This window comes from Homo sapiens, chromosome 8 (assembly GCF_000001405.40).
Source record: "Homo sapiens chromosome 8, GRCh38.p14 Primary Assembly".
In the NCBI taxonomy this organism is placed as follows: domain Eukaryota; kingdom Metazoa; phylum Chordata; class Mammalia; order Primates; family Hominidae; genus Homo; species Homo sapiens.
In genome coordinates, this window is record NC_000008.11 from 124995268 (window position 1) to 125022409 (window position 27142).

At 38.9% G+C, this 27142-nt stretch overlaps 1 protein-coding gene and 1 long non-coding RNA gene across 3 annotated transcripts, besides 3 other annotated features; one reads left to right on the forward strand and one right to left on the reverse strand.

The window, feature by feature from the left end:
• Positions 1 to 1720: 1720 nt before the first annotated feature.
• Positions 1721 to 2931, reverse strand: SQLE-DT (SQLE divergent transcript). The gene is made up of 2 exons (NR_134457.1): positions 2696 to 2931; positions 1721 to 1893 (listed from the first exon to the last, which is right to left on the reverse strand). It is a non-coding gene; the product is annotated as an SQLE divergent transcript (long non-coding RNA).
• Positions 2559 to 2618: an enhancer, noted in NCBI's record as "active region_27897". NCBI's record gives its function as "activates an Ori minimal core promoter by ATAC-STARR-seq in GM12878 lymphoblastoid cells {active_cell/tissue: GM12878}" and the evidence as "EXISTENCE:reporter gene assay evidence [ECO:0000049][PMID:35858748]".
• Positions 2839 to 3338: a silencer, noted in NCBI's record as "silent region_19516". NCBI's record gives its function as "represses an Ori minimal core promoter by ATAC-STARR-seq in GM12878 lymphoblastoid cells {active_cell/tissue: GM12878}" and the evidence as "EXISTENCE:reporter gene assay evidence [ECO:0000049][PMID:35858748]".
• SQLE (squalene epoxidase) lies at positions 3238 to 27016 on the forward strand. Of its 2 annotated transcripts, none has more exons than XM_011517246.3 (11): positions 3238 to 4804; positions 7909 to 8161; positions 10258 to 10438; positions 12124 to 12220; positions 13704 to 13817; positions 13905 to 14076; positions 16270 to 16365; positions 22792 to 22934; positions 23364 to 23460; positions 25517 to 25604; positions 26486 to 27016. In XM_011517246.3, exons 1-11 carry the CDS (start codon positions 4688 to 4690, stop codon positions 26676 to 26678), a joined length of 1551 nt encoding a protein of 516 aa, XP_011515548.1. In that variant the 5' UTR covers positions 3238 to 4687; the 3' UTR covers positions 26679 to 27016. The 2 variants fall into 2 exon arrangements, with proteins under 2 accessions (XP_011515548.1, NP_003120.2); NM_003129.4 differs by having other exon boundaries at positions 3238 to 4427.
• Positions 3549 to 3598: an enhancer, noted in NCBI's record as "active region_27898". NCBI's record gives its function as "activates an Ori minimal core promoter by ATAC-STARR-seq in GM12878 lymphoblastoid cells {active_cell/tissue: GM12878}" and the evidence as "EXISTENCE:reporter gene assay evidence [ECO:0000049][PMID:35858748]".

Genomic DNA, 27142 nt, shown 5'->3' on the forward strand with positions numbered 1-27142 from the left:
TGTGGGGAGAAAAATCAAGTCACACATTCCTAAATTCCTCACATACATTTTCTGGGCTTGGATTCAGACTCTGCTAGTCACTAGCTGTGATCACTTCCCTGTGCATGAGTTTTCTTGTCTGTAAAATGGGGCTAAAAAAATAGTATCTTAGCTGGGTGTGGTGGCTCACGCCTGTAATCCTGGCACTTGGGGAGGCCGAGGCGGGCGGATTGCCTCAGCTCAGGAGTTGGAGACCAGCCTGGCCAACACAGTGAAACCCCATCTCTACTAAAATACAAAAATTAGCCGGGCGTAGCAGCCTGCGCCTGTAGTCCCAGCTACTCGGGAGGCTGAGGCAGGAGAATCGCTTGATCCCCGGGAGGCGGAGGTTGCAGTGAGCCGAGATCAGGCCACGGCATTCCAGCCTGGGTGAAAGAGCGAGACTCCATCTCCAAAAAAAAAAAAAAAAAAAAAAAGTAGTATCTCCCTAAAAGTGTTGTCAGGAAGCCAAAACGAGCTAATATATGAAAAGTATTTAGAATGCTACCCGTACTATATGTGTGAGCTCTTGTACGAAAGTATTTCTCATGTACCTACTTGATAGCATTATGGCTTTCTGCCAGTAAGCAGCTGATTTTGTCTCACATTTCATTGCTTTCCCTTCAGGTCTCAATGACAGATTTGTTTTTGAATAAATGAACCATGGCAAGATTCAAAAATACTTAAGCAATGCTTATATAACATTTAATTCAGTTCAGAAGATATAGGCATTCAGAGTGTGCTCTGCGGTAGGTATTACAAGTGCTCTTTTTGCCCCAAATTCAGAAGTGGATCTTGAACTGCCTAAAGGATTCAGACCTGACATTGTAAGAATGACTTTGTGAAGATAAAAACATATGAAGAAAGTCGCTTTCCAGAGATTAAAAAATTATCTACTTAATAAGAAAAATTCCTTTTATGATAATCTTGAGTACAGAGTTAGCAGGTAACAGCCATCCTGGTGATAACTGTATTCCCATCTGTAAGAGTCAGTTGGCCGGGCTTGGTGGTTCATGCCTGTAATCCTAGCACTTTGGAAGGCTCAGGCGGGAGGATCACTTGAGGTCAGGAGTTTGAGACCAGCCTCGCCAACATGGTGAAACACTGTCTCTACTAAAAATACAAAAATTAGCCGGCATGGTGGCACGTGCCTCTAGTCCCAGCTACCCGGGAGGCTGAGGCTTGAGAATCGCTTGAAGCTAGGAGGCAGAGGTTGCAGTGAGCTGAGATTGCGCCACTGCACTCCAGCCTGGGCCACAGAGCGAGACTCTGTCACAAAAATTTAAAAATAATAAAAGAGTCAGCTGCTCCTCTATTATTTTAACAAAACAGAACTCACAGATACCAATAAGCAGTTTATTGAAGAATTCTCTTCAGGAAATGATTTCCCATACATTGAACTGATTCTCTTTTCTGCAGTCCTTTTAAATTTGATGTCAGTTCAGACAGCCAAACTTACTGGTAACAGTGAGGAATATTGTAGAAGAAAGAATAAAAGTATTGGAAAGCAAGGCAGTTATTGATAATTATGCATACTGGGGAACCACAAGATTTGGAGACCAGGACTTTGACTTTTGGTTTCATCATTACGATTTAATCACAGCTGTGATTTAGTCAAGCCATTTAACCTCTTTAATTTTCATTTTCCTCATTTTAAAAATCAAAGTTGTTTTGAGGGTCAAGTGAACGCCTGTGCGGGTGTTTTACCAAATAATTATTTTATTAGCAGATAAAACATAATATTGGGGGTGAAAAGTTATAAGAGGTGCCATGTTTTTTTAAACCCTGCCAAGTATCTGATACAGAATTGCAAAGGATGTTCGAGTTCATGAAGAAGTTGCCTTCTCCCCACAGAGGCAGAGTGACTTGTAACATCTGTAAAAGGTCACAGTCTGGTTAGCGGTAGCCAGAATCTGGGTCTCCTAACTCTAGTTGCCTAGTCTTGCTTTTATGCGCCAGTGTCGTTCATCATTCATTAAATACATGTTATGGAGGATAAATTAAGGGCAGAGCATTGTGCTAGGTGCTGTGGGTGATCTTATCAGACACAGATCTTTAGGGAATCTAGAGATTAAAAAGTATGAATAAAGTTATGTGACTTGGTGAAGGTCAATGGCGATTTGGTGGAAGAGGTGACAATGCAGCCACGCTCCAAAAGGCAGAAGGGATTTGCACCTATTATCATAGGGGTTAAAGAAGGAAGTCCAGAGTTAAGAAACAGGATGAGCAAAGACACTGAGGTCTTAAGCCTCAATAAATTTTAGGTAAGTTTCATCGTAGTAGAATAAGGGCTGTCTCACTCCGAGACTTTTGCACACTTTTGCTCCCTCGGACTGCTTGTCCTGGACACCGTGTAACCTCCCCCTGGGCGCCTCACCAGACTTCTCCAGGCCAAGGGAAGGACCACCTCTTGGGTTTCCATGGCTCCCTCTCTAACCACCCCCTTCTCAGGACACCTATGACACGACTATTTGACTTCTTTGCCTCCGAGCCCCCACCCCCAACGTTTCTGGTCTTGAGAGAACGGGCTGGGCGCATCCGTGTATCTCTAGCCTGAGCACCTGGAGCGTCCTCTCCTTTTCTTCTTAAGGCAAAAGCCTACTCATTCTTCCAGCTTCAGCTGGAATGTCAGGCTCTCCACGCACTCATGGCCCTCCCTTCCGCCCTCTCCACATACACAGGGCAGGGAAGCTGTGTCTGATTCCTCTTTCGGACTCCGGGGACTGACATATCATAAGCGCTCAATAAATGCTAGCGGAATGAATGGAAACGTTCCGACCCGAGGCAGCGGATCACTCCAGGCTTCTCCTCAAAGCGAGCACACCTCAGTCCAGGGAGGGCGCAGGAGCTGGGGCTGCTGCGGTGAACCAACCCCAACCCCGACCCCGACGCCGATCCCGGCCCCAGAGCGCCTCCTAGGCGACCCCTGGCCCCACCCACGCCGGAGCCGGCCCGCGCCCATCCCCACGCCCCAACCCGCACCACGCAACATCGCCCTAGCGCCTTTCGGGGCGTCGCCGCGCAGGTTGCGCCGCCTCCGATTGGCCAAACGCGGCATAGCGCCATCTCGGCCTACCGCGCGGTGCGCGCCCTCATTGGCCGGCGGCGGCAGGAGCAGGGGTAGGGGGCGGGGCAGCACGCGGGGCGCGCGGTATGGGCGGACTCGCGCCTGAGCCCCGCCCCCGGTCCCTCGTCTGGGCCGAGCCCGCCCAGCTGGCTGAGACGCGTGGAGCCTGGCGGCGAGTGGGGGCGTGCGACGGTTACTCTGGTTACTGGGGCCGCGCCGCGCTGGCGAGAGCCGCCGCCCGCGAGGGATGCTGGTGAGGAAGCCGTCGGGAGCCGCCGCCGCCATCTGAGGGAGGTACCCTGGAAACCACCTTTTATCGGTGGGGAAGTGCAGTCGCGGTGGGCGGCTCTGGGGGCCAGCGAAACGGGAGGCCTCTAAATCTTTAGGTTGGGGCTGCATTGCCCTGGAGCCGCACTCTTGAGTCCGAGGCCATCTTTTGTTGGAGAAGGCGTCGGCGTTGGCGTTTTCCCGAGGTTGGGCTGTACAGTGTCTCCGTCCGCGGAAAAAGAAGCCTCTGAACCCGCGCCGGCCCGCAGCCCCCGTGCCTTCCGGCCGCTGCTCGCCGTCGCCAGAGGCTAGGCCACGTTTCCCCCAGTGCCGAGGTGTTTCTGTGACCCTCCCTCCACTCCCATTCCCTTCTGAAAGGGCACCTGCTCTTGGTGAGAAAAGAAATTATAGCACGAAGAGCCAGTATCAGAAGAGTATCCATCACCCGCAGCAACCGCTCAGGGAACACCATCAAAAAAGAAAAAAAGGGAATATCTGGATTTCCTGGGCGAGGAGGAGCGAGTCTGCTCGGGAGCTGTTCCAGCAGGCGATTTTTAAATACTGCTTTCTACGCCCTATACAACTTGGCTTCACATACTTTTACACTAACTTTATATGATTTTTAAAAACTGGTCTGATCGGACTTCTCGTCCTGGGACACTGTTTACTGGAGTCTGGCCGGCTCTCCGTGCTCCTCTTGGTACCTCATTTTGGGGAGAACCTTAAACCCACTCGAGCAGATAATCTCCGCCTTGACCGGTGCCACCAAAGAAGCCTTGGAACCATGTGGACTTTTCTGGGCATTGCCACTTTCACCTATTTTTATAAGAAGTTCGGGGACTTCATCACTTTGGCCAACAGGGAGGTCCTGTTGTGCGTGCTGGTGTTCCTCTCGCTGGGCCTGGTGCTCTCCTACCGCTGTCGCCACCGAAACGGGGGTCTCCTCGGGCGCCAGCAGAGCGGCTCCCAGTTCGCCCTCTTCTCGGATATTCTCTCAGGCCTGCCTTTCATTGGCTTCTTCTGGGCCAAATCCCCCCCTGAATCAGAAAATAAGGAGCAGCTCGAGGCCAGGAGGGTAGGTTGATTTCAAAGCGGGCAGATGAATGTCTTATTTAGGAGTAGGATTGGGTTCACTCAAATATAAGTTTTATTTGAATTGCAAAAGGCGGCAGGTTAGATGCTTGTATACATTCTCATGTATTTTTTATTTTAAACTCTGCTGTGCCTTGGTTACATCTTTGACCTTCTTAAGAATGAGTGAAGACATTTGTTTCATTTAGCATTGGTTGAGCCTCAGATGGAGGTTGGATATTTGATTATGAAAGATGGAACGAAATGTTAGAATTTCATTTTGAAGGAGAAGAACAACCACTTTCCATGATGAAAAAGTTTTTAAAAAGTTCTTGGGTAAGGATTGGATTTGTGCCTGAGGAAGAAAGAAACGTGCTGCGGGTAAGTCCACTGCTTGTAAGAAGTGACAGCTGACTGGGGAAAGTGACAGAACAGTTTGAAAAGCAGGCAGAAGGAGAATGCTCAACATTTTGAGGCATTGGGCTCAAAGTTCTCCTCCCCCGAATATTGGAGCATTGAGTAAATGCTTGTAGTAATGTCCTAACATAAAGGCCAGGTCTTCAAATAAGGGTGTAGTTGGGATTCCTGCAAAGGGAGCAGAGGCGGCCACTGGGAGAAGATGAGGGGGAAGAGTTTAGGCCAGATCATTTAGGGCATGTTGGCAATGAGTGTTCGGGCTTTTTCCCAAGAGTTCTCCCAAGAACACTGGAGGATTTTAAGTATGGGAGTAACTTTATTCGGTGTTTACTTTTTAAAAAATTTTTGTTTTTTGAGACAAAGTCTCGCTCTGTCGCCCGGGCTGGAATGCAGTGGCGTGATCTCGGCTCACTGCAACCTCCGCCTCCCTGGTTCAAGCGATTCTCGTGCCTCACTCAGCTTCCCAAGGAGCTGGGATTACAGGTGCACGCCACCACTCCTGGCTAATTTTTTTTTTTTGTATTTTTGTGGAGACAGGGTTTCACCATGTTGGCCAGGCTGGTCTCGAACTCCTGACCTTAAGTGATCCGCCTGCCTCAGCCTCCCAAAGTGCTGAGATTACAGACGTGAGCCACGGCGCCTGGCCTGACTTTTACCTTTTAAAAAGAACATTGCAGTTGCTGTATGGAGAATGGGTTGTAGGCGTACAAGAATGGAAGCAGGGCTATCAGGCAAGAGACTATAGCAGTAAACGCCCACTTGCTTTTTAAATTTTTGCGCCACCATTTCTGGATGTGAGATCTTTGGCAAATTGCTTAATTTCTGTGAGAATCTGTTACCTCTTCCATTAGACGGGAATGGCACCACCCTTGCTGGTAGTTAATACCTAGTCTATAACCGCCTGATAATAGTAGCTGTTAATATTAGCCTAGGGGTAATATACATCTCTTAGGGTGAGCTTTATGAGTAGCGCTGAGTTCAGTGACATGGTGCATGGGTTTGAGGAATGGGAAAGGAGGGAGAGAGAATCCTTAATGTTTAATTTGAACTTTTTTGTATTGTGGTCTGAAATAATTTCCCTTAAGGTCACTGAGCTCTAGTTCAGGTGGCTGGAATGCTGTTCCTGTTTTCATGCTGTGTAGAGAAATTTTGGAGTAGGAAAATTGGGTTACCAGCAATCAATATTGGTTCCATTTTGTGAACGCCCCAGGCTTTCTCTTTATTTTTTTGTGAACCAGGGAGTTGTTAGATTGTGATCTATTGACTACTAAGTTCCCATTAGTGCTTACTCTACTGATCAGGCTCTGCAAGGCCTGTTTTCCTCCAGAGCTCTCCTTTCAGGGTGTGTGTGTGTGTGTGTGTGTGTGTGTGTGTGTGTGTGTATATAAAACAGGAAAAACTTATGAAGAAGCACATTTTTGGTTAAGATGACAAAAGGGGCTTGTCTTGCCCCCTACAGTAATTTAAATATAGTCAGTTCTGGCCATTAAGACATACTAATGGGAAGAGTAGAATATTGAGATCTTCCCATAGTAAAAGGACAGAAAAGTATTTTTCTGAGAGAAATTAAAAAAAAAAAAAGAATAGACAAATTCCCAGTCCACTATAGAGGTAAAAGAATGCTGGGTGGATATTAGAATCACAGAGTAAAGTTCTAAAGGATTTTAGGCTTCGTCTTCCTTTTTGCTTGATTATTTTTTAAAAACCCCTTCAAATGGCATTTAGTCTTATCTTAATCATTAAGGTCAAAGAACTCAAGGAAGGTGGTTCCTTGCAATTCTGTATCTGAAATGTATTCAAATGTGTGAATCCATCTACCAAGAAGAAATACTACAAAATTGAATTGTTCATTTTAAAAAGCCACTGTGCACTGTTGTTCTTAGTGGTCATAAATCTCTCAAAACAAGACTTTGCATCTTTTTATGATCAAAGTTAAAGTTTTGCTGTCAGTTCAGCCAGTGACAGGTTTAATGTTTTTCCTTGTTCCTTTTTTGGGGACCACCTCTTTGACTAGGATCTCTTAGAGTATCAGGATGGGGAAAAAGGAGGGATAAATTAAATATGTGCTTATATGTTAAGGACCAAAATTGTAAACAAGTCAAATCTAAGAGTCGGTATGAGTTATTTCTTCTCTTGTAATTTTGTTTATTTAGATAATCTTCAATTAATAGATTGGTAGGCAGGATTTGACAATCCTTTTGTCATATAAAAGTGATATTAAATTAACATAGATTTTTCAAATGAAAATCCAGAAAGAGAAAATAAAGATGAATAATGAAAATATCTAAGGCCGCACGCAGTGGCTCACGCCTGTAATCCCAGCACTTTGGGAGGCTGAGGCAGGAGGATCACCTGAGGTCGGGAGTTCAAGACCAGCCTGACCAACATGGAGAAGCCCAGTCTCTACTAAAAATACAAAATTAGCCGGGCATGGTTGCACATGCCTATAATCCCAGCCACTCGGGAGGCTGAGGCCAGAGAATTGCTTGAATCCAGGAGGCGGACGTTGCAGTGATCCGAGATTGCGCCATTGCACTCCAGCCTGGGCAACAAGAGTGAAACTCAGTCTCAAACAAACAAACAAAAAAACAAACAAAAAAAAGAAAATGTCTAAAAGGTGCCGAATAGTTTGTAACATGAACTCAAATCAGAAGTTGTAAGTGATTTGCATCTTGTCGATTCCCAGGATATATTTGAAGAATTTAGTTATTAATGATACAGTTTGCCCTATAATAAGTCTTTGAAGCCCCTTATAAACATTTATTATATTCGGCCCAGTGTGGATTTCTAAATATGTCTGTATAACATTTTCCAAATATCATGTTTAGAAAACAATAAATATTTAATTTTATTGGGATAATATGACACACTTTTATTTAACGAATATTTTGATATCATTGATTTTTATATATTATCTAGATTTTAAAATGTAACAATTTGTTTGGTTTGATAATATTTAGTATCTAGCTTTAGCCTAGGATGCAAAAGTCCAGTGTGTCCACATAGCGGTAGCATGATTTGAATCTAACAAATTTGGATACCTAGTTTACCTTTTTTTTTTTAAACAGCGCAGAAAAGGAACCAATATTTCAGAAACAAGCTTAATAGGAACAGCTGCCTGTACATCAACATCTTCTCAGAATGACCCAGAAGTTATCATCGTGGGAGCTGGCGTGCTTGGCTCTGCTTTGGCAGCTGTGCTTTCCAGAGATGGAAGAAAGGTGACAGTCATTGAGAGAGACTTAAAAGAGCCTGACAGAATAGTTGGAGAATTCCTGCAGCCGGGTGGTTATCATGTTCTCAAAGACCTTGGTCTTGGAGGTAGGTTCATATTGATTTTCAGGAGAGTTACGTGGTATGAACAAGCACTCTTCACTTAGACCATCCTATGACCAGTAAGAAGGTATTCCATTTTATTTTCATTTATAAAATTTTCTATACTCATTTACCAACAAATTTGCATGAAAGTGAGAGCAAAGGATAAAATAAGCATTTAATAGTATGATTAGATGTGAATTAGACTTAATGAGATATAATAAAATGGCCAAAAGATTGTAATGGTCAAAATTAAGGACTGGAAAATCCTAGAATGAGGGCATTAAATTTTGTGAAAGGCGAAGGGAACTGTCATTTGTAGAGGGTATGTTGTATACTTGTTACAGTGTTATTACTTAGAATCTTTTATTTAAGCACCATTCATCCATTCAACCAGTGCTTTTTAAGCACTGGCTATTCATTTAGGAAATATTTATGCACTGTCTACTTTGTGTGGGGATGGGGTGGTGGGGTGGGGTGGGGTGGGGAAGGTGGGAGAGACACAAAGAAGCAAGCCCTCCCCTGTCTTTTTTTCCAAGGGCACTAATCCTATCGTGAGAGTCTACCCTCATGACCTAATCACCTTCTAAAGGCTCCATCTCCAAATATCATCACATTGGGGATTAGAGTTTTAGCTTAGGAATTTTGGGAGGACACAGACATCCAGTCAATACCATATTTGAACATTTTATGTCACTAATATATATACTAGAGTCCACTTTTTCACTTGACAGAAACATATTTCCAATACTGTTAACCATTCTTTATCAGTATCTTTTTAAGCCCAAGCATAGTTGTTTTTCAGTTGACTTCATAATGTACTTCACTTTTCAAACTTAGATGAATGTTTAGGTTATTTTCAGTTATCCTTTTTTAGGTAACACTATAGTGAACCTATTCTTGCATGTAACTTTAAAGATTATTAAATATTATGTCTTTAGGATGAATTTCTTACATGGATTTCCAAGAGTAAGATTATTACATCGAAGGATGCTAATTTCTTCATGGTTCTTGATAATTATTGTTATATTTTCTAAAATATAATATTAGTTCATAGTATCACCAGTAGTATATGAATTTATCAGTTTTATCATAATCTCATCAGTGATTTTGATGGTGTCCTGTTGTTTCAATTTTTACTTAATTTTTTTTATCGTTTGAACATTTTTTCTGATTTGTTCACTGTTTCTATATTGCTTTATATGAATCATCCATACATGTTTTTGTCCATTACTATTGGCGTCTTAATATTTTTCCAGTGGTTTTTAATGAGTAAATTTTATTATATATACATGTATTAATCTTTTGTTCTATTTCATATGTCTTTCCCAAAGTATTGTTTTAGTTTTTATTTTTAAAATTAATTTTTTAACTTTCTAATTTTCGGTTGGCACTTTAAAAATGTGATATTTTCTATTGAAAGTTTTTTATTTTTCAACTGCTTTTGCTGCTTTAGATTTAAGAAAGAAGTTTTTACATGATTCTGATGAATTCAGTGTTTTGTTTGCTGCCATTTAAATTATTTGATGTACTAAAAAGTTCTTTGCAGTTTGTCCTGAGTCACTTTTAATGGATAGTATGTAATCATCAACAGTTGGGGGATAACTCTACCCTTTCCATTTGGTTTGGAAAATCTACTTTTTCATATATTCAGTCATTATATATAAATTGGGGTTTTTTTTTGAGTTTCCATACTGGTTTTATTTTATTTTTATTTCTTTTTGGTGACAAATCTACATATTCATACATTGAAAGAAGTGTTAAGAAGGACTAAATGTGTTCCTATGTCTTTATGGCAGAACAGGTTTACTCAGGAGAGGATTATGGTTTATTTCATGTTGCATTTTCTTTCTGAAGTTGAAGTGGAATTACAGACCTGAAATAGTTATGTTGTTATCTTTAAATGATATTACAGATTTGCTAAGACTCTCATTGACTTCCAGAAGCATTCACAGTTTCTGAAATAGTTACATTAGTTTTGTTCAGTTCTCCAGATTTGAAGGCAGAGACTCATTTTTGATGTGTGTGTGTCTTCTTTGGTTCTTAGTTTAACGCTGGGTGTGTTAACAGAATTGATTGTTTTGAACTCGATTGCTTTGCAGATACAGTGGAAGGTCTTGATGCCCAGGTTGTAAATGGTTACATGATTCATGATCAGGAAAGCAAATCAGAGGTTCAGATTCCTTACCCTCTGTCAGAAAACAATCAAGTGCAGAGTGGAAGAGCTTTCCATCACGGAAGATTCATCATGAGTCTCCGGAAAGCAGCTATGGCAGAGCCCAAGTAAGACCACAGTTTCAAATATATAATTACTAAAGAATCAATGCATTTAAATTTGACCTTTGTACAAATAAGATTTTATAAATTTTAATGAATTTTTGGGGCATAGTCTAGAACATATGTATATTAAAATAAACTGTCAGTCAAAAGAGTGTTAGATATTCAGTGCTTTTGTTAAGAATATCATATAGAGAATTTTCCTTTGACATGGAACTATGAAGAGTTCTCCTTTGACTAAATGAAAATTACATAATTTTTATGTGACGGGAATTTAGAGGATATATTTGTAACTAAGGCATAAGTCCATTTGTGCACATTTTGGAGTTTGAGTTTGTGGTTACGATACTTTCTATTAGAAGTCAGGATACAAAACTGCAAGGAGAAATCCCTGTTTCATTCTCACTAAAGACCCAGTCTGTTAGGACTGGCTTCTTCTCTTGTTTATTAACTTATATTTACCAGTAACCTTTAAAACACTAATTGAAGAAGTTTTAAGCGTGAGAACCCTCATGTGACTGACACAGACTAAAGTATTGACAAAGCAAGTGAAGAAGCAAGTGGACTTAATCCTTTGGACTAAAAAGACTTGATATCCATGGAAGAAGAGTATGTTCACTGTATGAAAATGGAAAAATCGGCCAGGTGCGGTGGCTCATGCCTGTAATCCCAGCACTTTGGGAGGCTGAGGTGGGCAGATCACGAGGTCAGGAGTTCAAAACCAGCCTGGCCAATATGGTGAAACCCCGTCTCTACTAAAAATAAGAAAAAATTAGCCAGGCGTGGTAGCACGCACCTGCAGTCCCAGCTACTTGGGAGGCTAAGGCAGGAGAATTGCTTGAACCCAGGAGGTGGAGGTTGCAGTGAGCCGAGATAGCGCCACTGCACTCCAGCCTGGGCGACAGAGCGAGACTTGGTCTCAAAAAAAAAAAAAAAGAAAATGGAAAAATAGTCCCAAATATAAAGATTATAAAAATTACCTGTGATCTTTCTGACTAGAAATAATTACTCTTTCTTTTTTTTGAGACTGAGTCTCGCTCTGTCACCCGGGCTGGAGGGCAGTGTTGCAATCTCGGCTCACTGCAACCTCTGCCTCCCGAGTTCAAGCAATTCTCCTGCCTCAGCCTCCCGAGTAGCTGGGATTACAGGCACATGCCACCACGCCTGGCAAATTTTTGTATTTTTAGTAGAGACGGGGTTTCACCATGTTGGCCAGGATGGCCTTGATCTCCTGACCTTGTGATCCGCCCACCTTGGCCTCCCAAAGTTCTGGGATTACAGGTGTGAGCCACCGTGCCCTGCCAGAAATAATTACTCTTAACAGTTTGCAGGATGCATTCCAATACTTGTTTTCCCCTCTGTGTATGAATGTATGAGGGTATGTAAAGTTTCTCTGCCTATATTTTATTTTTTAACAAATTAATTTATTTTTAACAAATTAAGATGAAAATCCAATGTTACTTTTTAAAATATTTTTAAAATATTTAATGATTACTAATGATTACTAATGTAATCATTAGTAATATGTATTAAATGTTGATAAATTAGAAAATAAAAAACACACATTGGACACGTGTTTGCACACACATGCATGTCCAGTTTATATGGATAAACTGGAGATAAGGAATTTATATTTAATTTAAATTGCTGAAATGTGCTGCTTTAGAAATGTATTTTTTTTTATTCTTTAGTGCAAAGTTTATTGAAGGTGTTGTGTTACAGTTATTAGAGGAAGATGATGTTGTGATGGGAGTTCAGTACAAGGATAAAGAGACTGGAGATATCAAGGTGAGAAATACCAAATGTCACCTCTTCCTAAGAGATGTTGTTTTTCCTGCTTTTTCACTTACCCCTTTAAAAAAGTAGGCTTACCGGTTTACATGTTGAGTATCTCTTATCTGAAATGCTAGGGATCAGAAGTGTTTCAGATTTTTTATTTTTTTCAGATGTTTGCATTATACTTACCAGTTGAGCATCTCTAATCTGAAAATCTGAAATTTGAAATGATCTAATGAGTATTTTGTTTGTCACATTACTGCTCAAAAAGTTTTGGATTTCAGATTTTTGGATTAGAGATACTCAGCCTGTGTTATTTATCAAATGAACTGAGTTCTTTCTAAGCCATATGCAACAGGATGGGTTTCAGATTGCAACACATTGTTCTTTAGAGGACTTCAGAATGCTATGCAAAAAACATTTTAAACAGAACTAATGTGAATAGTTTTTGAAACAGTAATATACATCAGCAGAGAAGCAGAGGGGAACTAGCAGGGGAAAGAAGGCAAGATTCAACATAAAAGAAATGATTCAGATAAAATGAGCAATTTAACTCAGGTAATAGTAAGAGAATCTTTTTAAAAACAATTTATCCTTTTATTTTATTTTATTTTATTTTGTTTTATTTTTTGAGACGGAGTTTCACTCTTGTTGCCCAGGCTGGAGTGCAATGGTGCGATCTCGGCTCACTGCAACCTCCACCTCCCAGGTTCAAGCGATTCTCCTGCCTCAGCCTCCTGAGTAGCTGGGATTACAGGCATGCTTCACCGCATCCGGCTAATTTTGTATTTTTAATAGAGACGGGGTTTCTCCATGTTGGTCAGGCTGCTCTTGAACTTCCAGCCTCAGGTGATCTGCCCACCTCAGCCTCCCAAAGTGCTGGGATTACAGGCGTGAGCCACCGCACCCGGCCAATTTTTCCTTTTTTTAAAAAAAAATTATCGTAGTAAAAAACATGTAATTCTGGACTGCTCCCCATAGGGTTACCACCTCTTAGAAATTGTCCTCTAATGAAGGTGACTGGAATGTTTTCTCTGCTCATACTGTAGTATTATAAATACATGTAGTCATTTGTACAAAAATTCTTCTAAGCCCTAGCTGCTGACTAAAAGCACTATATGAAGTTAGGAAATTTTAGAATGAAAGAATCTGGCTAGTCCCTTGAATTTGTAATGAGATTGACTGCTCTGTGTTACATGCCTGCCTTGTAGTTGTTTCCCCCATTGTCTGTCAAAGTGGAGAGTAATCCCAGATGGTTTGCATGGGAGGGCTACAAAGGGAGATGATCCTCAGGGACTCAGAGGAAGTATCTAAACACTGGTCATGCGTTATCTGAAGCCCACGTAACAGTTTCTTCAATAGTATTATCTTCAACTACTCTCTATAATGCTATCTGATAATATATCTAAATCTCTTCACGCACATTTTTTAAGAATGGCTTTTTTTACTGTGTGTTTCTGACTACTAAACTGAGTAGTCTTCATTTCTGTTATAGGAACTCCATGCTCCACTGACTGTTGTTGCAGATGGGCTTTTCTCCAAGTTCAGGAAAAGCCTGGTCTCCAATAAAGTTTCTGTATCATCTCATTTTGTTGGCTTTCTTATGAAGGTACTGTAGGAGTGTGTTATTGTAATTTCAATAAAAGAAACTTGAAATTTGAAAATTATTAAAACATTTTCTTTTTATTTGTTTTAGAATGCACCACAGTTTAAAGCAAATCATGCTGAACTTATTTTAGCTAACCCGAGTCCAGTTCTCATCTACCAGATTTCATCCAGTGAAACTCGAGTACTTGTTGACATTAGAGGAGAAATGCCAAGGAATTTAAGAGAATACATGGTTGAAAAAATTTACCCACAAATACCTGGTAAGAAATAGCATCTTCAGTTCTTACAAAGGCTGTGTCTAAAATAGGCCAGAGATAAGGATGGCAGGTGAAACATTCATCCAGTCAACCAGATATTCTGGAACTGAACTATTTAAACTAGCACTTAAAAACAGCAAAACAAACTCCCAAATTAATAAAAAAAAGTTTCGGGCCGGGCACAGTAGGTCATGCCTGTAATCCCACCACTTTGGGAGGCTGAGGTGGGCAGATCACCTGAGGTTGGGAGTTCAAGACCAGCCTGACCAACATGGAGAAACCCCGTCTCTACTAAAAATACAAAATTAGCCGAGTGTGGTGGTGCATGCCTGTAATCCCAGCTACTCAGGAGGCTGAGGCAGAAGAATCGCTTGAACGGGAGGCAGAGGTTGTAGTGAGCCGAGATCGTGCCATTGCACTCCAGCCTGGGCAACAAGAGCGAAACTCCGTCTCAAAAAAAAAAAAAAGTTTTGATATGTTTTTGTCACATAATAGCATAGTTTTTAGAATAATTGTTTTTATTGGCATATATGGTATTTTTAAAGGTAGTCTCTGGACACGAATCTGACTCTGAATTCTTTATCTCTTATACCTAAATATTTTTGTGCTTGGTTTTTGTAGTAATGACAGCTACCATTTCTTGAATGCTTACTATAAAGTGTTTAGCAAACATAATTTCATTTAATCTATGTAACCACTCTGTGAGGTAGGCATTATCATTATTCTCATTTTACAGATGGGAGAACTAAGGTTCAGAGAGATTAGTTAGCTCCTCCAAGTATAAACTATTAGTAATGGCAGAACCAGGGTTGATATCAGGTCTGTCTGGCTCATATGTGCCTGTTTGAACAGACATGTCCTGTCCGCAGAATGTGAGAATTGTAAGGGATCTTCAGGATCATGTTAGTTTTGAGTTGAATATAAAGGCTTCATGAGATTTAGATAGCTTTGTAAAAACATTAATAAAAATTACTTTTTCACAAATCTAAAGTTTTCATGGTACAGTTTTTAGGATCTTTTTTTGAGAATGGGATGATATAGGAAAGAAAAGTAAAAAAAATTTAAGAATTTTGATAAAATTGAAGGGAAACCCTCATTGTCAATTATGATATGATTAGAGTAATAGGAAACTATTTTTGGTATGAGTACATTTTGTTTAAATATTCCGTTTTTTTCAAGTTATTTTTTAAACTAAGTGAAACCACTTTAGTAACAAATTATTAACAGAAATGAAGTGAAATGAAGTGGGCAAACTTAGATTTTAAATAATGACATTTTCAACATGTACATGGAAACATTTCAATAAATTTTCATTTAGTTAAGCCACTTTTGAAGCTTTCAGATGGGGAAATTATGAATATTTATGAAAAGGGTCATCCATTACCTGATATTTTTAGCATTTATTTTTCTTTTATTGTAAATGTGGTGGTTTTTCTTTTTTTTTTCTTTTTTCCAATCCAGAGGTTAATTGGAGTAGAGTGCCCTGAAATTATGGAGAGAAACCATTGGTAGGTTTATATTAATATTAGTTAGATTACCAAAATTCTACTCCTTAATATGAATGGAATAATTTTTAACAGAGGCTTCTGCTCCTCTATTCCCAGATCACACTGGGAATTGTATGACAGTTCATTTTCTATATAAGTAGCACAGAAATTTAAAGCTTGTTTGGAAGTATCTCAGAGATGAGCTGATCAAACCATTTCATTTTTATAGATGAAGAAATTGAAGCTCAGAGAGGTAGGGCTGGCCTCGAATTCCTTTTCTAGTGTACATACCCTCCTGCTGTTTGTGAATTGGTAGTGTATTTCATCTGATTATTACAAGAATATATTGATTATAATACATTAAATATTAAATATGACAGTAGTCTGTTAACATTTGGAAGAAAGGTAGGTGGTTTTCTCCCTGTTTCATTTCATCTGAATTTGCCTCATTGTTTTTTCATTCAGTTGTATGTATGTTTATATTAATGTTCTCTTAGATTCCTTAGTCATTCCTTGGCATTAACAGCTAAGTGCTTAATGAATAATTTTATTAATGAAATAATTAGTTCTTGATTTATCACAAGGGATATATGTAACAACCATAACAGATGTATAGTAGGCATTTGTTTATACTTGATAAGAAAATATGTGATACTTTGAAATTGAAGTGTTATGACCCATTTCTTTGGGTTGGTGGGATTTATTGCAGATCACCTGAAAGAACCATTCTTAGAAGCCACTGACAATTCTCATCTGAGGTCCATGCCAGCAAGCTTCCTTCCTCCTTCATCAGTGAAGAAACGAGGTATTATTTTTTGGGCTTATTTTATAAAGGAATCAGTATTCCAAATGACAAATATATGATTAAATTTATACTGTTACGAATAACTTCTGGGACAGATAGTTTGTCACTGTGGATTAGTGCATTATTAATACCAAAATTAGTTTTATGATCTATTTAGTTGTTAACATTGAGTGTATACAAGTATTGTGCTAGTCAGGGAAACAACAGGTAAAAAACTGACCTTGACCTAGAGAAGGCAATTTTCTACTTAGGAATGTAGACAGATAATTTTACAACACTGTTGATAAATAAAACCCACAGATTCAGTGTCAAGAAGTGTGCAGAGCAGGGAGGGAAGCTTGTGAAATGGGAGGGGTAGTTAGGGAGGACGTTGTTCAGGAAACAGTGGAAACAAAGGACCTTGGACCTGGAGGATGAGTGGGAGTTCATGAGGTGGACACTAAGATGAGGAACTTCTAGGTAGATGGAATAACATTGCCAAAGGATGAGAAATGGTGGCACTTTCAAGGAACTCAAGCAGTTTCCTATGGCAGGAGCATAGGGTGGGTGTCAGAGTGGGAGACAGACCATTAACATTTAATCTTACAGACAATGGAAAGTCATTTGAAGTGTTTTCTTGTTACTAACTTTATTGATATATAATTCACAAATCAGTTTGCCCATTTAAAGTGTACAGTACAGTGACTTTTTTAGTATATTCACAGTGTGTGCATCACCACCACAATCAAATTTAGAACATTTTTATCTTGCCCAAAGAAACCCCGTACCCATTGGTATTCACTCCCCATTTCCTCCCAACACTCAGCCCTAGGCTACCCCTAATTTACTTTCTGTGTCTAGATTTGTCTATTTGGGATGTTTCCTAAAGGCATTGTATAGTAAAGCCCTTTGGAACTGGCTTTTCATTTAGCACAATGTTTTTGAGGTTCATTCATGTTGTAGCATGTTTCAGTTCTTCATTTGTTTTTATGGCCAAATAATCTTCCATTGTGTGGCTATATTACATTTTGTTTAGCCATTCATCAATTGATAGATATTTGGGTTGTTTCTACTTTTTGGTTATTACAAGCAATGCTGCTATGAACATCTGTGTGCGAGTTTTTGTGTGGACATATATTTTCATTTTTCTTGGTTATATACCCAAGAGTGATATTGCTGGATTACATAGTAGTTCACGTTTAACTTTTTGAGGAGCTGCTAGACTTGTTTTCCAAAATAGCTGTCCCAGTTACATTCCTTTCAGCAGTGTGTGAGTTCTAATTTCTCCACATCCTTGTCAGTGAACACTTGTATTATCTTTGTGTGCATAGCCATCCTAGTAGTGTGAACTAGGCCTTTTATCATTGTGCTGATTTGCATTTCTCTCATAGATAATGATGTTGAACATCTTTTCATATGCATATAGGCCATTTGTTGTTTGGAGAAATGTATATTTAGACTTTGCATATTTTTTTAATTGGGCAGATTTAAAATTTATGTATTGTTGAGTTTCAAGAGTCCTTTATATATTTTAGGTACAAGTCCCTTATTAGATATGTGATTTGCAAAATTTTTCTCATTCTGTGGGTTTTCTTTCCATTCTTCTTAATGGTTTCCATTGAAGTACACATGGTTTAAATTTTCATGTTTATTTTTTCTTTCGTTGCTTGTGCTTTTGATGTCATATTTAGGAAGGCTTTGTCCAATCTAAGTTCAAAAAGATTTACTCCTATGTTTTCTTTTTCTTTTTTTTTTTTTGAGATGGAGTTTCGCTCTTGTCGCCTAGGCTGGAGTGCGATGGTGCGATCTCGGCTCATTGCAACCTCGGCCTCCCAGGTTCAAGCAATTCTCCTGCCTCAGCCTCCCGAGTAGCTGGGATTATAGGTGCTCGCCACCGTGCCCAGCTAATTTTTGTATTTTTAGTAGAGACGGGGTTTCGCCATGTTGGCCAGGCTGGTCTCAAACTCCTGACCTCAGGTGATCCACCCACCTCAGCCTCCCAAAGTCCTGGGATTACAGGCATGAGCCACCATGCCTGGCCTGTTACTCCTATATTTTCTTCTAAGAGTTTTATAGTTTTACCTCTTAAATTTAGCTCTTTGATCCATTTTGAGTTAAATTTTGTGTCTGTTGAGAGGAAGGGGTCCAGCTTGATTTGTTTGTGTGTGGATATTCAGTTGTCCCAGTATCATTTGTTGAAAAGACTGTTTGTTCCCCAGTGAATTTTCTTGCCCTTGTGGTCAAAATTCCCTTGACTGAAAGGTAAGGGTTTCTTTCAACAATATTTTGTAGTTTTCAGAGTATAAGTTTTGCATTTCTTTTGTTAAATTTATTCCTAAGTATTTTACCTTTTTTGATACTTTTGTAAATGGAATTTTCTTAAAGAGGCAGTGGCATGATTAGACTTTTATTTCAGGAATATACTCTGACATTTTTGTGGAGGATGGTTTGGAGGAAAGTCTAGTAAAACATACACTAAGATTAATTATTCTGTCAATGATGATAAAAGGCCAGAACTAGGGTTGTAAAATGAAAGGTAATGAATAAATTTGGGTAATATCTAGGATGTAGAATGTAAAAAACGTGATGATTTGGATATTATAATGAGAGTGAAATCTCTTGATGTAAATTCCAGGTTTCTGGCTTAGATAGTTTTGCCAGCCATTTGCTGACATAGGAACAGGAAAAGGAGTTAATTGGGTTTTCTTTCTTTTTTCTTAGTTTGTCTTAAAGGTTTGCTGATTTTATCTTTTCAAAGAACCAACTTTTCATTTTGTTATCTTTTGTATTTTTTTCATTTCATTTATTTTGGCTCTGATCTTTATTATTTTCTACTAATTTGGGGTTTGGTTTGCTCTTGCTTTTCTGGTTGAGATGCACTGTTAGGTTGTTTATTTGATGTTTTCCTGCTTTTTTGATGTAGGCACTTACTGCTAAAAACTTTCCCTTTAAGTATTGCTTTTGCTGTGTCTCACAGGTTTTATATATTGTCTTTGCATTTTTATTTCTATCAAGAAATTTTTATATTTACTTCTTAATTTCTTCATTGACCCACTGGTCATTCAAGAGCATGTGGTTTAATTTCCATGTGTTTGTATACACAGTCTCCAAAGTTCCTCATAGTACTGATTTCTAGTTTTATTCCACTGTGGTCAGAGAAGATACTTGATATGATTTCAATTGTTTTTTGAATTTTTTAAGCCTTGTTTTGTGGCCTACCCATGATCTATCCTTGTGAATGATCGATTTGCTGAGGAGAAGAATGTGTATTCTGCAGTTGTTGGATGAAATGTTCTGTGAATATTTGTTAGGTCTGTTTGGCCTGTAGTCCAGATTAAGTCTGATGTTTGTTGTTTATCTGTCTGGATGATCTATTCAGTGCTGAAGGTGGGGTGTTGAAGTCTCCAGCCATGATTGTATTGGGGTCTGTCTCCTTAGCTCTAATAATATTTCCTTTATATATCTGAGTGCTCCGGTATTGGGTGCATATGTAATTGTTACATCCTCTTGCTGAATTGACCCCTTTATCATTATCTAATGACCTTCTTTGCCTCTTTTTATAGTTTTTGTCTTGAAATCTATTTTACTGATGTAAATATCACTATGCTCTTTTTTGGTTTCCATTTGCATGGAATATCTTTTTCCATCCCTTCATTTTCAGTCTCTTTGTGGCTTTATAGGTGAAGTGTGTTTATTTTAGGCAGCAGATCGTTGGTTCTTTTTTTAAATCCATTCAGCCACTTACGCCTTTCGAGTGGAGTTTAGTCCATCTACATTGAATGTTATTATTGGTAAGTGCGTACTATTGCCATTTTGTTTTTGTTTTCTGATTGTTTTGCTGTCTTTTCTTCCGTCCTGTTTCCTTTCTGTGAAGGTAATTTTCTCTGGTAGTATGTTTTAATTTCTTGCTTTTAATTTTTTTGCCTACCTCTTGTAGGCTTTTGATTTGAAATTACCAGGAAGCTTGCAGGTCATATCTTATAACCGATTATTTTAAACTGATGACAACTGATTCCACAAACGAGCAGAGAAAACTAATAAAAACTCTACACTTTATCCTCCTTGCTTTTTAACTTTTGTGAGTTTTGTACCTTCATGTAATTGCTTACTGCTCGTTAAGGTCCTTTTCTTTTAGATTGAAGAACTCACTTCGGCATTTCTTGTGGGAAAGTTTGGTGTTGATGAAGTCCCTCGGCTTTTGTTTGTCTGGGAAAGTCTTTATTTCTCCTTCATGTTTGAAGGATATTTTCACTGGATATACTATTGTAGCATAAAAGTTCTTTTCCTTCAGCACTTTCAGTGTGTCTTGCCCCTCTCTCCTGGCCTGTAAGATTTCCACTAAGTCTACTGCCAGACATACTAGAGCTCCATTGTTTGTTGTTTCCTTTCTCTTGTTGCTCTTAGGATCTTTTCTATATCCTTGACCTTTGGGAGTTTGATTATTAAATGGCTTGAACTAGTCTTGTTTGGATTAAATCAATCACCAATCCTTGCTTGGTGTTCTGTAGCTTTCTTGTGCTTGAATATTGATATCTTTCTCTAGATTTGGGAAGTTCTCTGTTATTTTTTCTTCAAATAAACTTTCTACCCTCATCTTTCTATCTCCTTTTAAAGGCCAAGAACTTAGATTTGCTCTTTTGAAATTATTTTCTAGATCTTGTAGGTGTGCCTCATTCTTGATTATTCTTTTTTCTTTTGTCTCCTCTGTGTATTTTCAAATAGCCTGTTTTCAAGCTTACTAATTCTTTCTTCTGCTTGATCAGTTCTACTGTTGAGATTCTGCCATGTTCTTCAGTAAGTTAATTGAATTTTTTATCTCCAGAATTTCTGCTTGATTCTTTTAAATTATTTCAGTTGTTTTGTTAAACTTACCTGATAGCATTCTGAGTTCCTTCTCTGTGTTGTCTTGAATTTTGTTGAGCTTCTCCAAAACAGCTATTTTGAATTCTCTGAAAGCTCACATCTCTGTTACTCTGGGATTGGTCACTGGTGCCTTATTTATTATTGTTAATTTAGTGAGTTCATGTTTTCCTGGATGGTTTTGATGACTGTGGATGTTCACCAATGTCTGGGCATTGATGAGTTAGGTATTTATTGTGGTCTTCGGAGTCTGGGCTTGTTTGTACCCATCTTTCTTGGGAACGCTTTTGAAGTATTCAAAGGGAAGTGAGTGTTGTGATCTAAGTCTTTGGTCATAGCAGCCGTATCTGTATTAAGGGGCACCCCAAGTCCAGTAACATTGTGACCCTTGCAGACTTGTAGAGGTACCGCCTTGGTGGTCTTGGGTAATATCTGGGAGAATTCCCTGGATTATCAGGAAAAGAACTCTTGGTTCTCTTCCCTTACTTTCCCCCAAACAGAGTCTGTCCTTCTTTGTTGAGCTGCCTGGAGCTGTGGGGGACGGGTGACACAGGTATGCCTGTGGCCACCATGACTGGCGTGTGCTGAGTCAGACCTGAAGCCAGTACAGCACTGGGTATTGGTGAAAGGCTTGTGGTGATGACTGCCTGGTCACCGCTGATGTTCCCTCAAGACTCAAGAGCTCTACAGTCAGCACAAATCCAGCCAGGCTTGTGCCCTTCCCTTGAGGGCAGTGAGCTCCTGGGGGCCCAGGACTGGTCCAGAAATGCTGTCTGGGAGCCAGGGCCTGGAGTTGGGAAACTTAGGAATCTACTTGGTGCTCTATTCTACTGCAGCTGAGCTGGCACCCAAACCTTAAGACATATTCCTTCCCACTCTTCCCTCTCCTTTCCTCAAGCAGAAGGAGCCTCTCCCCATGGCCACCAGTGCTCCAGGCCTGCAGTGAGTACTGCCTGGCTGCTGCTGGTGTTCACTCAAGGCTCCAGGGCTCTTCAGTCAGCTGGTGGTGAATGCTGCCAGACCTGGGTCTCTCCCTTCAGTACAATGGGCTCCCCTCTCACCCAGGACGGATCCAAAAATGCTGTCCAGGTGCCAAGACCTAGAATCAGGGACCCCAGGAACCCACTTGGTGCTCTGTCTCACTGGCCAAGCTGGTACCCAGGCTGACTTTTGGTTCTTATGAAGGTGCTTTCCTGTGTGGGAGGGGGATGATCGCCAGAGGACTTGCTTTGTATACCTGGATACCTGTAGATTCTTTTTATTTTCTTCATATTTTAAGGAGGCCTTACAAATGTATTGACATTATTGGACTTGTCATTAGGTTTGTATATGAGCTTCATGAGGGCAGAGGCCACACTCTTGTTATTACCATATCCCCAGTGCCTGGCCACCTATTAGGTACCCAACATTGATTCAAACAACTCTTGAATTTTTGCCTCAGCAAATTTTAATCATGATTTGTTTTCATGTATTTTCACATTTTTCTTATTATTAGCTTACATCAGTAATCTTTATACATTGAGTTATCCTTTTTGTTTTGTCTCAAGGGATGCTCTAAAATAAAATCTTCATTACCTCTCTTCATAGGTGTTCTTCTTTTGGGAGACGCATATAATATGAGGCATCCACTTACTGGTGGAGGAATGACTGTTGCTTTTAAAGATATAAAACTATGGAGAAAACTGCTAAAGGGTATCCCTGACCTTTATGATGATGCAGCTATTTTCGAGGTAAGATCAATTATTTTGACAAAAATGTCTCAAAATGGATTTATTTCTGGGGGTTAAGAGCAGTGGGGCTCTGATGGGGAGATCTGTACTAAGGAACCTGATGCTTTATAATAGCTCTTAGGCATCTTGCTTAGGCTTAAAGAACCTGACTTGCAACCTGTGAATCTTAGAGAATTTCTAAATTTGAATATTATGTAACACTTGATTGCTATGGGCCACTTAGCTCATAGTGGTTGTAAATTTAGCTTCAGTGTCATATAACCCATTGCTCTGAAGGTGATTTTTTATTTTTTTTGTAAATGATAAACATAAGGCAATATTACTTGCAGATAGTCCTTAGAAGGATAAGTATCAGTTTGAGGGGATTATAAACATCAGTTTGTGCTTTTTTATCCTTACCATATAATAAATGAGCTATTTCTTTTTTAGGCCAAAAAATCATTTTACTGGGCAAGAAAAACATCTCATTCCTTTGTCGTGAATATCCTTGCTCAGGCTCTTTATGAATTATTTTCTGCCACAGATGGTAAGTGTAGACACTTTTTAGTGAATATTACTCAATTGCAGATTTTTAGCGTAGGAAAGGAATAAACAAGTTAGTGATTTGTCCAGAAATAAAAATGTTACCTGAGTTTGCTAACTCCCAAGTTGGTAGTTTTTTAAAATTCCATTTTGAGCAATAGTTGTAGTTTTAGTTTTAGTTTGGAAGGTAGTGGAATTTCCTTAGACAACATTAATAGCAATGCCTCAGTAACATATTCATTATTTTGAATTCCTCTGGTGCAGACTAGATCATGCTTGTCCTCACACACACAAGACTGTGATGGAAGGTGTTTTTGGCCATGTATTAAAAGGCAATGTAGTCTTTTTCTTCCTAACACTAGTTTCAATTTCTTTTTAAAGTAGTATTTTATAAAATGAATACAAGCTGTTAATCTTGTCCCTGTTGAAAAGCACAAGTAACAATGCATTCACCCTTTACTTATTTGGATTATTTTGGTGCTTTTGTTACTGTTTCCATATTATACAGAGGTCACGGTCAATGTATATATTAGAGAAAACACAACTTAGCAGAAGCAGTGTTAGAAATGGAGGAAAAGAGGCCAGGCGAAATGATTCATGCCTGTAATCCCAGCACTTCAGGAGGCCAAGGCAGGAGGATCGCTTAAAGCCAGGAGTTTCACACCAACCTGGACAATAAAGCAAGACCCCATCTCTACAAAAAATTAAAAGATCAGCAAGGCATGGTGGCGTGTGCCTGTAGTCCCAGCTATTTGGGACTATATAGCTCACTACAGTGAGCTATATATAGTGAGCTATATGAAGTGCCACTGCACTCAGCCTGGGCAACAGAGTGAGACTTCATCTTCTAAAACAAACAAACAAAAAATTAAAAGAAATGGAGGAGAAAAGGCAACTGTGCCACCTCCTCACCACAGCAGTGTACACATCAGTTTAATAGTAGGTTAATGAAACTAGGCTTTTCAGTTTTCAAGAATAAATACTGACTCATATGCCACTACTCTAGTATATTTGCAACATAGCTATTTGTATGATCTGGCTGAGGCCCTAGTGATAAGTGCTGTGGTTATAATTACAAAAGATGATACAATAAAAATGCTTTCTGTAGCCTCTATAACCATTAACTCTTCCTAAGGAAAAAAAACAAAACAAAAACCCCACCAATCTCACTGGTTATGATTTTTCCAAACAAATTTCTCTTGCTAAATTGGCATAGAAGTTAAAATGGCTGGTTGGGCAAATGAAAGTAACTAAGTTTAGAGTTTTGGGCAAATAAAAAGAACTAAGTTTAGAGTTTTGGGCAAATAAAAAGAACTAAATTTAAGAGTTTTTCTGAGCTCTTCTTTCTAAGCTTTTCTAACTTCTTGAGTTCTTAACATTATGAATTTAAATCTACCAACAAAACAACATTTTTTAAAAGTTACAAGATTGGAGGAGGAAAGACCTTTATTGGAGCAAAAGTTTACCTGTTGCATCCTTTACTTTTTAAAATCTGTTGTAAAGAAAAATCTGGGCATACCTGAACAGAACATTGATTCTAAATGGTTAAAAAGGTTATCAATTGATTACACTACATTGTGAGGGTTTTATGAGTTACTTTGAAAGGTATTAAAAACTTTATAGATATAAGGAATTATTATTTATCGCTACTCACAGCTCTCTTCACTTGATAATTTACTGCTTAGTTAGAGATACTGGTTGGACATCTTAGAGACTGGGAATTTGGTTTCTAGAATTGTGTTAAAAAGAGCTTCCAAAGTATTTTGCATCACTTAATGAATTAACAGCAAAATCAAGGAAGTACCTTTTAAACAACTCTTCCAAGACCTAAATATTAGTAGTTATTTACTAACAGAAAAAAGTTTATTCATATTTATATTACTCTCCATAATGCTGATTATGGAATTCAGAAGAAATCCTGGTTGTTGAAATTCTAGGACTAGATATTTAAAAATTATCTGCAAGATGTAGCGTTTGTTATTTCTCATTTTTTCTGATATATCATTAGCATCCTACATAAGTGTGTACACATATTTGATTATTTTACAATTTTATTTTAGATTCCCTGCATCAACTAAGAAAAGCCTGTTTTCTTTATTTCAAACTTGGTGGCGAATGTGTTGCGGGTCCTGTTGGGCTGCTTTCTGTGTAAGTTGTGATGGCACAGAGGATACAAACCTGCCAGATTTTCTTAGGACTGTTCAGTTGATGAATTACTGCAAATCTTTCTTCCTTACACATTTTGATATTTTATTATCTGTTAGTATCCCAATGAGAAGGTGGCCCAAAGAAATGAAGAAACGCAATATTTAGTACTGTTTTCTTTCTAGGGAACAGCAGTTAAAGGTGGTGGTAGAGGAAGCTATAACCCTTGATTAAAATAGAAGCTTGTTTTTTGCCTATGGATTTATCCATATGTTCTGGTCTGTGGGAGCCAGGAATAATTGAGAAATTTTAATTTAAGAATTAGTTTCATTGAAGTACGGGGACTTATACAACCCAGTATTAGTTTTGAGCGTACAGACATATGTGGAACTATTCTTGGAAAGTCTACAAAGTGAAATCTATCGAGTTATTTCTCATTTGCAAAGTGATCCTTTGAGTCATTTCTCATAATCTATAATCTGAATGTTAATACTGATATTTTTAAAAGCCCTACATCCCAACAGACCAGGCCATCTAGATATTTCAGCGTGGTGTCTCAGGATGAGTAAACAAACAGCTAAAAATATATGACTTATGTAAACTAGAGTTACAGGAGTTACTAGCTTTTCTGAAAGGGATATATTCTAAGTATTTTTTCTTAAAAAAAAAAAAAGGGGGGTGGGGGGTTTGCTCCTGCCATCAAACTTAACATGCAGACATATTTGTGACGTCCTCTAAAATGTAGAATGTTTCATACAGAATTATGATGCTTGGGTAAAAAAAAGTAGGATGTTTGTTGAGCTTCGTAGATTATATGTAATTGGAACCTTTGGAGTAAATTTTAGTTTCTGAGTCTTACCAATATGTATTTTTTTCTATTACAGATTGTCTCCTAACCCTCTAGTTTTAATTGGACACTTCTTTGCTGTTGCAATCTATGCCGTGTATTTTTGCTTTAAGTCAGAACCTTGGATTACAAAACCTCGAGCCCTTCTCAGTAGTGGTGCTGTATTGTACAAAGCGTGTTCTGTAATATTTCCTCTAATTTACTCAGAAATGAAGTATATGGTTCATTAAGCTTAAAGGGGAACCATTTGTGAATGAATATTTGGAACTTACCAAGTCCTAAGAGACTTTTGGAAGAGGATATATATAGCATAGTACCATACCACTTATAAAGTGGAAACTCTTGGACCAAGATTTGGATTAATTTGTTTTTGAAGTTTTTTGTATATAAATATGTAAATACATGCTTTAATTTGCAATTTAAAATGAAGGGGTTAAATAAGTTAGACATTTAAAAGAAATGATTGTTACCATAAATTAGTGCTAATGCTGAGGAGAACTACAGTTTTTCTTTTGAATTTAGTATTTGAGATGAGTTGTTGGGACATGCAAATAAAATGAAGAATGAACTTTCGTGTCTTTTTGTTTCTTGTTGTGGGCTCGTTTACATAGCTTCATGATAATGAAAAAGAAAACCAAAGTGGGATGAAAAGTGCAGAGGGAAACCTGTTCTATTAAATAACTGGGGAAGTTGC